Raw genomic sequence first — 13,823 nt, 5'->3', positions numbered from 1 at the left:
AAAGAACACCACCTCCATCTGAAGATGGCCCAGCAGACATCCTGGATGATTTTCAAGCATTTTTTTTTTTTAGTGTACAGAGCTGACCCAGTAACTTCACCAAACTTTACCTCTGACATTCTAGCCTTCCATGTTTTGTTTTGTTTTGTTTTGTTTTGTTTTGTTTTGTTTTTTGAGATGGAGTCTCACTCTTGTTGCCCAGGCTGGAGTGCAGTGACGTGATCTCAGCTCACTGCAACCTCTGCCTCCCGGGTTCAAGCAATTCTCCTGCCTCAGCCTCCCGAGTAGCTGAGATTACAGGCACAAGCCACCATGCCTAGCTAATTTTGTATTTTCAGTAGAGACAGGGTTTCGCCATGTTGGTCAGGCTGGTCTCGAACTCCTGACCTCAGGTGATTCACCCTCCTCGGCCTCCCAAAGTGCTGGGATTACAGGTGTGAGCCACTGCTCCCGGCCAAGTCTTCCATGTTTTAATGATTAAAATGGCATCATGGATAAATAGGTTGAATTAATGTGAATTATTTTTCAGTCAGTATTCTCTGATAGGTATTATATCTCAGTCTTTCCTCCTGGCAATCGAGACAAGAAGGAACTGTAGGTGTAGTGTGAGACACAAATTTCACTTTATTTTTCAACTCAAAAAGCCCCCATGATGTCCCTTAGACCCCAGAGTAAAAAAAGTTACAAACTCCCTGGGGCTCAGTTCTTGGCACTTCATCCTAATTATGGCCCACGATCCTCAAAGTGGAGGTTGAATAAGTGATGATCTACTGTTATTATTAATTTGCATTTTTATGAAGCTCTTTTATAAGGACACCCTGTGGCTTCAGTGAGCTTGAAGATCCCAGCCTCCAGGCCCATAGCCTCATTCATGGTGTATGTTTCGAGGTGCCCTGTGGAATTAGGTACTGAGTTTATAAATATTTGATGAGCCTGGCCAACTTCAGAGGACAGTCCAAGAAGATTCATAATGCAACTGTAAAGCCAGGCCTTGGCAGCATCCTCTCTTGATATGTTATTTTGTTGAGAGAATCACAAAACCAAAAAGTAATTAGCAACTCAGAGGAACTGATAATGGTGCAGATGCTCCCTTCTCGAGACAGGAAGAAAGCCTCTGTCTCAGCAAAGCTGTCACCTACACAAGAGAGAGATCAGAACCAGAGCACTCACAAAAAGTTTGAAAAGACACTACAGTTTAAGATGGATTCCCTCTCAGTTATTTGCACTTTTTCAAATTCTAACCTGCACAGTTACTGGAAGCTTCTAGAGGCCTTCAAATTCTCTATAAAAGCACCTCTCTGCCCCACCCGGAACAAAATGGATTTGGTCTATATGGTCCTCTTAAACTTCTGGTATCTGAATTTTATCTTTTGTCATTTTCTGCTTTCTTCACTCTAGATAAAAATATCTAATGTTCTCAGAAGTTGGGGAGTATTTCTGAGCCTCCCCACAAACATCGTCTGTGTCCTTGTGTCCTTGGATTACTTGAGGTATATTTTGTGTGGCTGCTTTTGAAGTCAAAATGCCCCATAGAGCTTCAGTTTCATAGGAGTCAATCGTGGTAAAGTTCTGATCTTTTGAAGCACTGAAAGGGATTGCTGCAGTAGTAGTTCTTGTTGTTGTTGTTGTTTGTTGTTTGTTTTTTTGTTTCTCTGTTTTTTGAGGTAGGGTCTCACTCTGTCACCCAGGCTGGAGTACAGTGAAACAATCTTAACTCACTGCAACCTCCACCTCCCAGGCTCAAGCTATCCTCCCACCTCAGCCTCCTAAGTAGCTGAGACCACAAGCGCCTACCACCATGCTTGGCTAATTTTTGTATTTTTTTGTAGAGACAAGGGTTTCTCCAAGTTGCCCAGGCGGGTCTTGAACTCCTGGACTCAAGAGATCCTCCTGCCTTGGCCTCCCAAAGTGCTAGGATTGTGGGCGTGAGCTACCACACCTGGCCTGCAGTAGTACTTTGAAGAAGCTTTTTAAAATCTTGATGAGACTTTGGGAAGCCAAGGCGGGTGGATCACAAGGTCAGGTGTTCAATACCAGTGTGGCCAAGATAGTGAAACCCCGTCTGTACTAAAAATACAAAAATTAGCCAGGGGCGGTGGCAGGCACCTGTAATCCCAGCTACTCAGAAGGTTGAGGAAGGAGAATCGCTTGAACCCAGGGGGCGGAGGTTGCAATGAGCCGAGACTGTGCCACTGCACTCCAGCCTGGGCAACAGAGTGAGACAGCATCTCAAAAAAAAAAACAAAAACTTGGTGGGATAGACAGATGGATGAAAGGATGGAGGGATAGTGGGAAAAGAAAAGAGGAGAGGAGAGGAGAGGGAAGGGGAGGGAACGAGAGGGACAGAGGGGAGGGGAGGGGACAGAGGGGAAGGGAGGGGAGGGGAGGAAGATATAAGCTGGTAAAGTTTGAGGTTGATCTTCAAACCTCATTAGTCTTCGCACAGTCAGCAATACTTCCCTCCTGCTCTCAGCACGATAGTCAGCCCTATACTCAGTTCTTAAGAGTTGCTATTTTCAGGACTCATTAGTGGTTTGAATTCACAAATCCTGTGGTTTTACACCTAGCTACAGAGGTCAATATTTACAGTGTGCTACCAACACCACATAATAATGGAATTTCTCCCAGATAAATAGCAAATCTCTGATAATTACATGTTAACTTTCAGTATAACCTATAGGTCCAAAGGATACAAACCATGACAATGGGTAGACTAGTAGACCTTCAAAGAAAAGGAAATTAAGTGGAGTCTTACTGAAAGCATTCTTGCAACATAGAGCTTTAAACATCTTTATACATATTGACCCTGTAATCCCCTAAGAATATATCCTAAGGAAACCTTTAAGAATACTAAGATTTATGTTTAAAAAAAGCTTACCTTGGAATTTGTCATAATAACATATACTGCAAACAACCCAAATATCCCATATTAGGGGAATTATTATATGTTGTGGTGCATAAGGTGATGGAGGATAATATGTAAATATTAATACATAATATTTAAAACTTCATTTTCAAAGAAATCTAAACTTATCACACGCTCCTGTTGCCCGGGTGCAGTGGCTTACACCTGTAATCCCAGCACTTTCAGAGGCCTAGGCAAGCAGATCGCCTGAGTTCAGGAGTTCGAGACCAGCCTGACCAACATGGAGAAACCCCGTCTCTACTAAAAATACAAAATTAGCCAGGCGTGGTGGTGCATGCCTGTAGTCCCAGCTACTTGGGAGGCTGAGGCAGGAGAATCTCTTGAACCCGGGAGGCGGAGGTTGTGGTGAGCAGAGATGGTGCCATTGCACTCCAGCCTGGGCAACAAGAGCGAAACTCCATCTCAAAAAAAAAAAGAAAAGAAAATGTCAAAAATGTATACACAATAATTATTTAAGAAAAATGACCATAATGGAATATGAAATCTACCAACAATAAGAATCCTAACTGGTTATCCCTGATTGCCAGTAATTTTACTTTTCTCTATTTGCTTTTCTATATTTTCCAAGTTTTCTGCAAAGACATATTGCCTTTTAAAAATGTTTATTTGTACCATGTAATACATCACCTGATAGCCAAAGGGGGGAAAAAACCAACAACAAAAGAGGCTATGATGCAAGGCAAAGGTCTTACACTCTCCCCTCTCCACCTCTCCGGGGAAAATCTGATAGCTGTTCCTGGATTCAGTCATCTGTGATTGCCTGTGATAGATGCCTCTGTTCTGACAAGTTATCAGCTGTGGGAAACACCAATTGACTTTCCAGTTGAAAAGTGAATATCTTGTGGCCAGGCACGGTGGCTCACACCTGTAATCTCAGCACTTTGGGAGGCCGAGGTGGGCAGATCACGAGGTCAGGAGTTCAAGACAAGCCTGGCCAACATGGTGAAACTCCGTCTCTACTAAAAATACAAAAATAACTGGTGGAGCATGCCTATGCTACTCAGGAGGCTGAGGCAGGAGAATTGCTTGAACCAGGATCTGGGAGGCGGAGGTTGCAGTGAGCTGAGATCGTGCCATTGCACTTCAGCCTGGGCTACAGAGCGAGACTCCGTCTCAGAAAAAAAAAAAAAAAAGGAAAGTGGATATTTTGCTAACTTATGCTACCCTCTTTTCCCAATGTCTGGCATTTATATTTATGACTTTAGCTAGTTTATTTGTTATCTTTGGAACTCTAAGAATATATTTCAGTATCTGTTTTATCAGCTTTCAGGAGTAATTCCTGACACCTTATTTTCCAAGATGAAAGAATAGCAATGAGAATAGCAATTCTCCCACCTTTGCTTGACTTTCCTACCTTTTTCTAAATGTCCCTTTTTCCCCTGCCTTTTACTTTTGACCATCTTCACTTTAGTGACAAACACACAGCATGTGCTCTGTTTATAAATGATTTCTAACAATTAAAGACAAATGAACATGATTCACATTTTTTGTTCCAGAGACGGAGTCTTGCTCTGTCGCCCAGGCTGGAGTGCAGTGACACGATCTCGGCTCACTGCAACCTCTGCCTCCCAGGTTCAAGCAATTCTCCTGCCTCAGCCTCCCAAGTAGCTGGAACTACAGGCATGCACCACCCCACCCAGGTAATTTTTTTGTATTTTTGATAGAGACAGGGTTTCACCATGTTGGCCAGGCTGGTCTTGAACTCCTGACCTCAGGTGATCCACCTGCCTTGGCCTTCCAAAGTGCCGGGATTACATTCACGTTATTATAACTATAAACTATTGTTCAATTCTGACCCAAGTAGAGCCACCCTAGGAATGAGCTTCCTTCTCTGCAGAGCCATTCTCCCATCCTGCAGGCCAGGAACAATATTCCCGGCATGAAGATGAACTAATTCCTCCTGTCTTATAGCTCCTCATGGCTTCATTTCATAACATCTTTTTATTGGTTTCATATTTGCACTACAACTCTCTTAGGGTGCTTATCATTTTACCCTGTTTTTAGTTACCTTGTTTTTGTGGGTTTTTTCCTTCTGCATTTGGCTTGATGACAGTCTCAAAATTGTTCCAGGCCCTGAATCACAATTTCTTTCCTATTGGGTTCTTTTCCCCTGGATATCTCTTTTCCAGGCCTTATCAATAAGGATCCGTCAGAATATAGGGCAGCCGAGCTTTAGTTGGGCGGTGCTGTGCCCTCAGCCTTGAGCTCTAAGAAAGGCAGCTGCTTTTAGGGAAACTTGAGGGGGCAGTACTACAGCTCCTGAGGCTCTCCCGCCCAGTTTATGTGTGAGGACCGGGAATGTGTATATCCTTGTATGGTTTGAATGTTCCCTCCAAAGCTCGTGTTGAAACTAAATCCCCAATGTGGCAATATTGAGACTCAGGTGGGGCCTATCAGAAGTGATTGGATCATGAGGGTTCTGCCTTTAGGAACAGATTAATCTCTTCATTGATTAACAGATTAAAGGGTTATCTCAGTGGCTTTATGAGCAAAGGAAAGCACGCTCAGCCCCCTTACCACGTGATGCCTTGCTGAGCATGTTCGTCAGTCCCCACCAGCAAGGAGGTCCTCCCCAGAGGCACGCCCTTGACCCTGGACTTCCCAGCCTCCAGAACTGTAAGAAATTCCCTTTCTTTATACATTACCCAGTTTCAGGTATTCTGTTACAAGCAATGGGAAATGGACTAAGACAGCCCTCTAGGTCATGTGGCTCTGATAAAAGTCAGTGGGGAGACTTTAAGCCCATCTGATTCCCAGTCCTGTGCTCCCAGGACACAAGTGGCTCTGAGCCCCTCCTGCCCCTCCTGACAGGTTTCAGGAGGTGGATGCTGTGACCGGCCTGGCCACTCAGTAGGCACGTGTTTACATTGCGCATGTGGGTAAGTAATAAACCAGGAGCAAAAATTACAGACATACAGGATGGGCAGGTGGAGCCCTGCAGCCTCCCTTGAGAGCATGAAAGAAATATTGAATGGGGCTAATGTCATTCTGTCCTCTGACACTGAAGCCAAGAAATAAAATGCCCTACAGAGTGGAGGGGCCTGGAACTCTACACCAGTGTTCTCATTGTATAAACCACAAGGAAATACAGTTTTCCACAGGCCTCCCTGGCTTCTGTCGGAAGCACTGGCTCTCTGGCCTCCTGTCTGCTGTCCCAATGAATATGCAGAGAGAGGCTGGGGCTGAGCTGCAGGTCAGCCATGCTGCGCCTCACCTATTGAAAGAGGGAGCTGGAAGTAAACTCTCCGGCCCCCCAGCTTTGACATCTGTGCCCATCCTAGCCAACTCTCACAGAGCTGGCATGCAGGGTTGGATGAAGGAGCACCCTGGGATCCATAGCACAGGGCAGGGTACAGGACAGCAAGATACAGGCTCCCTGCCAGCCTGGGCTGGCCCCGAGGGGGCTGTAGGTCAGGGATACCACTGAAGATTTGCCCGTTAGGCAGCTGCCGGCCCTGTGCGACTGCCTCCTGGACTGCACCCCAGTGCTGGAGGTGGCCACCTGGGATGGGTGCAGTGGCTGAGGAAGCTGAGGTGACCCTGAGCCTGGAGGAAGGCCAGCTGGGGGCTGTCTGCTGACCACATCCCTGCAGCTGGGCAGCAAGGTCTTCCTGGAAGGGAGTCTAGAGTGCATAGCAGGGTCCACCAATGCTTCTAGAAAGCTGTACATCATCAGTATCATAGTCATCAGTGTCCTTTGTAGAGGGGCTTCTAGGCATCCTACATCTGATATCTCACTTACCAAGGGGGCAACTCAGCCATAAGGAAACTGAGTGAGCTGCCTACAAAGGAGAAGGAAATAGTTTTATAAAAAGAGAAGGCATATAGTCACCAACAGGAGAATGGGAATGGTAGAATCTGGCAGAGCTGCTCTTGGGAGCTGCCTGGGCATGTTGTTCAGAACCACGTGAGAGCATTGCTGACTCTGACCTTGATGCTCCCCGAGGATGAGGGCTGAGCCTGGAGCAACACAGGTGGCAGGGCAGGAAGAGCAGGCCGGCTCCCTGGGGATGGGAACCAGCAGGGAGGCTGCAGCTCCAGGCAGGAGTGACCAGGTAATGTTGGAACATCTGTCTGGACGTTCTGCAAGAGGCTGAGTCAGCAGCCAGCTAGGTGTGATTTAACTGGAGTGCACAGAGCTAGATGGTAAGAGAAAGCACGCATTTTTATTGTCCTGTCAGAAAATAATAATGCTCTTATGGCCAGCGTGGATCTCAGGTGAGCAGAAAATTGCACATTCGTCATTTCCCTACATATCAAGAGCCGGATCCCCCACACCACATGGGTGGGAATTTCCACCAGGGTAGTTCCTGGGCCTCTCCCCACCCTGCCCCAGAGTTTGTCCAAGTTGTCCAGGTTTACGCAGGGCCAAGCCACTGGCGAGCCTCCCAGTGCTCACGGACCCTGCCCCGGGTCCAATCTTCTGCCCAAATGGGCGCAGCCTCTGTTAGGATGCTGGAAGCCGGAGGTGGAGCATTTATACCCACCAGATCCCCAGCTCCCCCAAAGAACAGGACACAGCCCTCCTGCTGGAGGGACACACAGAGAGCCCTTGCAGATGTCCCACATCCAGGGAAATGTGTGTCCCCTGTGCCATTCCTCTCTGTGGGTACACGCTGGAGTGGAGGAGTAAGACAAAGCAGACAGAGAGCAGTTCCATTCCATGATGGCAACCCCAGGATGACAAGGGAGGCAGTGCCAGACGACTGACGCTGTGCCCACTCCCATGCTCTGGAGTCAGGCCTGACAAGGAAGATTTATTTTTGGTACAGGCGATAAGGCATAAAAACCCACGCACCGCACGTGCCTGTGTTTTGTGTGGCATGAATACATGTTAGCCGTGACCAACAAGAACGCAAAGCCATTACTTGGTGCCTGCAGAGGGAGGCCTGGCCAGTTCCTATAGCAGGACAGCAGCCCGAGCTGTCTCCAGGGAGAACCTCCAGCCTGCAGCTTGAGTCACACAGCACAGATCCAAGGCACCACCTGTGCCTATTCAGATTGTCTCATGCTCCAGAGAAGTCCATGGAGTGCCGTCCAGATATTCCAGCCCAACAAACCTTCTAAGGGAGAAGCAGGCGCTGACTGGCCCTCACGGTCCCCTGGCTCTCCACTGGAGCCAGAGTTCCCGACAGGACTTGTGGAACAGAATGTCAGCATTTGCTTTGTCTGGAAAGCTCAAGAGCATGTGGATCCGGCCTCATTCAACGGCCCAGAATATCTGCCCCTGGCATTGGTGAGACATCACCCTGTTCCTGCTAAAAGCACAGCAAGGGCTGCCGATGTCCACAAGGGACCTGCCCGCCAAGGCAGATTCTGTCTCCCGGGTCTTCTGAGCTCTGTCCAGCTGCCAAAAGATAGGCTGTGCCCAGAGGAGGACAAAACATTTTGCCCAAGGACTTTATTATGCAACGACACGAAAAATTACCACGTGAGAGTTTTATTCCTCTGAAAACACATTTTGTTGGAAACATTAAATGTTATGTTATTTCCTATGCTGTATATTTAAATACTTTATTTTTCTGGGCAAAAATGCCAGGAAAATAACTTGCCTCTCTGGAGGAACTACTCTACCTTTTTTTTTTTTTAAAGAACTGGCACTTCAAAAAAAAAAAACCCTTAGCTGTCAAGAAATGAGAGTTAAGTATTAACTCCATGCCAGCATCCACTTTATCTTAGATTCCTGATATATTCATTTCTCTTCCCCACTTTTCTACTAAAGTCTGCCAATGTCCTTGATTTCATTTTAACTCCTTGTGGGAGCATGCCAAGGCACCTGCAAGCCCTTTGAAAGAAAGGGAGGAATTAAAAGTAAATTAGCAGAGGCACTTGTAAGTAAGCAAGCATAAGGCTTGGGATTTGTGCCTCGTCATCTGAAGCAGCCTTGTTGAGGGCCGAGAGCTGGAAATGGCAGGAGAAGAACCCTTGGGCCCTCTCTCTAAGAATCCATGGGCTGTCCAGGAAGCATGGGGTTTCCCAGTCTGGAGCGAGAAGGGTAATAGCAGGGAGCATCAGGTATCCTCATTGTCTACTGCTGTGTAACAAATCGTCCCAAACTGAGTGTCTTAAAACAACCACAGTTATTTTATGCTCACTCCTGGTGTCAGGAAGGCTCAGCTGGGTGGCTCTGGCTTAGGGCTTTCTGCGGTGTAGTCAGACAGTGACAGGAGCTGTCAGGGGCTGGCCAGGCATCTCATCATACAGCCTCAACCCTTCCCATGTGCTCTCTCCCCATGGGATATTTTGTGCTTCCTGGCATTATGGCGGCCACAGGTGGCAGGACTTGTTGGGTGTTATTAACACTCAGGGCTCCAGCAAGAACCTCCCAGCAGCGCTCAGTGTAGAAGCTGCAGTGCCTTTGAGGGCTCATCCTCAGGAGTCAGACACCATCCCAGCAGACACACTGTCTGCTGGACACTGTGGATCCGCCAGTCCTGAAGATGAGCCTGGGTCCCAGGGGAGGAGGCAGACCTCACCCCTCAGGGGTAGGGGTGCTGAAGAACGTGTGGGTGCATCTCAAAACTGCCACCCACAGTATGCAGCAGTCGCTGGCCCCAACCCCAACTGGAAGGTAAAGAGGGATAGGACGGGTGGACTTCTCACTTAGTCCAGAGAGGTGATAACAAAGAATGCTGGAGCTTCTGCTGCTGGCCAGGCGTGTCTCTACAGAGAGGCAGTGCTGGAGAAGAAAAACACACTTCACTCTGAGAACAATCCACCACTCAGCATGTGCCACACAGACCCTCTCCCACAACCCTGCCAGCCCCTCACCGTGGGCCAAGTATATATGTCTGGATCTGGCTAGGATCACTGCACTACCAAGAAAGGGGCAGCCTGTAGGCCCTGCTACGGCCTGTGCCTGCCAGGAGCACGCTTAGCTTTTGCTTTAGGGTACAATGAGGACACTAGAGTCTAATTGCCCTCTGGCTCTGGGGCTAAGAGACACCACAATATGTGCTTTCACATTTTAAAAAATTTAATTTAAAAAAAATCATAGCTAAATTCCTACTCTGAAACCTTTCTCTTTTGCTAAATTATCTGGAAGTCGTAACTTCAGATGCCCCATGTTTTTGGTTTTTTTTTTTTTTTTTAGACAGAGTCTTGCTCTGTCACCCAGGCTAGAGAACAATGGCACAGTCTAGGCTCATTGCAACCTCTACCTCCCAGGTTGAAGGGATTCTCCTGCCTCAGCCTCCCGAGTAGCTGAGATTACAGGCCCGCGCCACCACACCCGACTAATTTTTGTATTTTTGATAGAGACGGGGTTTCACCATGTTGGCCAGGCTGGTCTCGACCCCTTGACCTCATGATCTGCCCACCTCGGCCTCCCAAAATGCTGGAATTACAGGAGTGAGCCACTGCACCCGGCCTGCCCTGTGGTTTTTGAGAACTTTTAACATGCTATGGCAGATGAAAGTGGATTTGCAAGTCACTTGGGCCTTGGAAAAGACACCAGTTCGAAAGAGGCAAGCCGAGGCACCTCCTCCAGAGCCTGGTGAGGCCAGCTGCCGAGGGCTCTGTGCTCTCTCTGGGGGTGTCTGTGGCCTCTCCCTCTACCTCCAAGGGCTGTGTCCCAAGATGTCATGAGGCCTTGCCTGTCCCCACGCAGGACTTCCACGGCACTTGAAACCTGTGGCAAGGAGTCTGACTTTTGTAGCTCTGAATCTCTGCAGAAGAAGAGGTAAAACCCAGGAGCAAGCAAGCTACGGCTGACCTTTCTGCAGCGCCTTCCCCAAAACGTCACTGCCCACAGGACCCTCTGTGTGGCAATGACACTTTGCTAAATCGACTCTCTACCAGTGTGTCTGGAATTGGTGGGTTCTTGGTCTCACTGACTTCAAGAAAGAAGCGGCGGACCCTCGCCGTGAGTGTTACAGTTCTTAAAGGCGGCGTGTCCGGAGTTTGTTCCTTCTGATGTCCAGATGCGTTCGGAGTTTCTTCCTTCTGGTGGGTTCGTGGTCTCGCTGGCTCCAGAGTAAAGCTGCAGACCTTCGCCCTGAGTGTTACAGCTCTTAAGGCGGCGCGTCTGGAGTTGTTTGTTCCTCTCGGTGGGTTCCTGGTCTCCCTGGCTTCAGGAGTGAAGCTGCAGACCTCTGCGGTGAGTATTACAGCTCATAAAGGCAGCGTGGACCCAAAGAGTGAGTAGTAGAAATATCTACCGCAAAAAGCGAAAAAACAAAGCTTCCACAGTATGGAAGTCGACCGGAGCGGGTTGCCACTTTTATTCTCTTTTCTGGCGCCAGCAGCCTGCTTTTCTTCTCTTATCTGGCCCCACCCACATCCTGCTGATTAGTCCATTTTACAGAGAGCCAATTGGTCTGTTTTACAGAGAGCTGATTGTTCCTTTTTGACAGGGTGCTGATTGGTGCGTTTACAATCCCTGAGCTAGACATAAAGGTTCTCCAAGTCCCCACCAGATTAACTAGATACAGAGTGTGGATTGGTGTATTTGCAAACCCTCAGCTAGACACAGAGTGCTGATTGGTGCATTTACAAAACTTGAGCTAGATACAGAGTGCTGATTGGTGTATTTACAATCCCTTAGCTAGACATAAAGATTCTCCAAGTCCCTACCAGACTCAGGAGCCCAGCTGGCTTCACCCAGTGGGTCTGGCAGGGGGGCCGCATGTGGAGCTGCCTGCCAGTCCCTTACGGTGCACCCGCACTCCTCAGCCCTTGGGTGGTTGATGGGACTGGGCGCTGTGGAGCAGGGGGTGGTGCTCGTTGGGGAGGCTCAGGCAGCCCAGGAGCCCGTGGTGGGGGAGGGGGGCGGTGGCGGGGGGTGGCGGTGGCGGGGCGGGGGCAGCGGTGCGGCGGGGGGCGGCGGCGGTGGGGTGGCGAGGGGGGGCGGCGGCTGCTGGGGCCCGGGGGGGGCGGGGGGGGCGGGGGGTGCCGGGGGGCCGGGGGGCGGGGGCGGCCGCCGGGGGGAAGACTCAGGCATAGGGGGCTGCAGGTCCCGAGCCCTGCCCTGCGGGAGGCAGCTAAGGCCTGGCGAGAAATTGAGCGCAGCACAGGTGGGCCAGCACTGCTGGGGGACCCGGGGCACCCTCCACAGCTGCTGGCCAGGGTGCTAAGCCCCTCACTGCCCGGAGCCGACAGGGCCAGCCACTCTGAGTGCGGGGCTGCCAAGCCCATGCCCACCCGGAATCTAGCGGGCCCACGAGTGCTGCGCAAAGCCCCGGTTCCGGCCCGTGCCTCTCCCTCCACACCTCACCGCAAGCGGAGGGAGCCGGCTCCGGCCTCGGCCAGCCCAGAGAAGGGCTCCCACAGTGCAGTGGCAGGCTGAAGGGCTCCTCAAGTGCGGCCAGAGTGGGCGCGGAGGCCGAGGAGGCGCCAACAGTGAGCGAGGGCTGCGAGGGCTGCTAGCACTGCTAGCACTGTGTCACCTCTCACTAGCACCTTCCAACCTCGGGAAGGTTGGAAGTAGGAGGAAAACAGGTGATTTGGGCCACAAGCAAGCCACACAGGAGTCAGCTGAGTTCGGGTGTGTGTGATAGTGTGCCCTGAGAACATGCTATTTTTTTTTTTTAGCTTACTTTCAGTTTCTTTCCCCAGTTTCCTGAGCACAGATCATGTGCATGGACACATGTATGGACATGAGCATATCCCCAGCATGTTGCCATGTGCTGAGTGAAGATTGTTCTGAACAGCAATGATTTCTTTCAGATCTTTTTCTTATACTCAGCAGACACGCATGTGCAGCCATGAGGAGCCATGCATGGTTCCAGGCACCCTGCAGGTGCTCACACATGGTGGGATTACAGGTGTGAGCCACAGTGCCCAGCCCACACTCTTCTTGAGAACACAGCTAGGTCCTTGAGTCCAACCTACCAGGCAGCCCTTCGCAATGCTGAAAACACACTCAAAATCCCTATCATGACTTTTTACAGCACAATAAAACCCAGCTTCCACCTTTTTCCCATCCCCAGGGATTCTGATACAGCTCTTTGGGGATGGATGAGGCCTGGGCAACTCTTAATAACCTCTCCAGGTGATACAGATGTGTAGGCAAGAGGGAGGGGCAAAAGAAAAAACTATCAGCTAATACCTAGCAGGAGAAGCAGTCAATTTAATGCAATGATCCAGTTATCACTCAGTGTATGAAAAGAGCAGCTCATCGTAAAAAAAAAAAAAACCAGCATGTTAGAGGTGGCCACCACCACAGTGCCCGGGGACATCTCTGGGAGTGGGCCTCCTTTCTCCTGTTTGCTGGCTGAGCCCCTTGTTCTTCTGCCACTACAACCAGGTCAGCTGTAGACTTGTCCTCTTGGCCCCCGGGGAAACCTTCCCACCTGGTGACTCGACAGCCTCCCACAGCCAGAGCAGAGACTCAGACCTCTCCAACTGAGTCAACTTTGGGAGGACACTCTATCCTTCAGGCTGGCCCAGGAGAGTGTTCGTGCCCAAAACAGCAGCCCTGTCTCCTCCTCCACACACTCAACACTGGACAACATAATCCCAGGTGGCAGGCATTGTCCATCACAGATGTACTAGGAGCTGATAAGAATACCAGGCCTGGGCCAGGGCTGCTCTGGACCCAGGGGATTGCTGAGCGAGGTGCCAAAATGCCCCAGAACTAACGACTTCCAGATGTGTCTCTACCTGGGAGGGGAACCAGGATGACCACACAGATGGTCTACACCTCCACTGCCCCATTTGGCCCTTTTAACATTTGTATTTTGACATAATTTCAGACTTAGAAAAAAGGTTGCAAGAACAGTACAAAGAATGGCCATAATCTTCACCCGGATTTCCCAAATGTTGACGTTGTACCATTTTTGCCTTCTCTCTTCCTCCGCCACCCCTTAATGTAGATATATGTAGAGAGAGAGAGGAGAGAGAGTTGTAATTTTTTTCTGAACCATATGGGAGTCAGTTGTAGGCATGATGCTTCTTT

At 49.5% G+C, this 13,823-nt stretch overlaps 1 long non-coding RNA gene across 1 annotated transcript in view, besides 2 other annotated features; it reads right to left on the bottom strand.

Annotated features, from left to right (window-relative positions):
• The window catches only part of LINC03062 (long intergenic non-protein coding RNA 3062), a 79,977-nt gene that overhangs the window by 26,536 nt on the left and 39,618 nt on the right, over window positions 1–13,823 (bottom strand). The window lies entirely within an intron of this gene.
• Window positions 2,336–2,385: a silencer, noted in NCBI's record as "silent region_20017". NCBI's record gives its function as "represses an Ori minimal core promoter by ATAC-STARR-seq in GM12878 lymphoblastoid cells {active_cell/tissue: GM12878}" and the evidence as "EXISTENCE:reporter gene assay evidence [ECO:0000049][PMID:35858748]".
• Window positions 6,909–7,480: an enhancer, noted in NCBI's record as "H3K4me1 hESC enhancer chr9:92300659-92301230 (GRCh37/hg19 assembly coordinates)". NCBI's record gives its function as "activates a minimal SCP1, AML or CMV promoter by ChIP-STARR-seq in naive and primed H9 embryonic stem cells {active_cell/tissue: H9 hESC(naive and primed)}" and the evidence as "EXISTENCE:reporter gene assay evidence [ECO:0000049][PMID:30033119]".

The sequence above is a fragment of the Homo sapiens genome, chromosome 9 (assembly GCF_000001405.40).
Source record: "Homo sapiens chromosome 9, GRCh38.p14 Primary Assembly".
NCBI classification, from domain to species: Eukaryota; Metazoa; Chordata; class Mammalia; order Primates; family Hominidae; genus Homo; species Homo sapiens.
The sequence above is the reverse complement of the archived record's forward strand: the minus strand, read 5'-3'. Positions and strand labels throughout refer to the sequence as shown.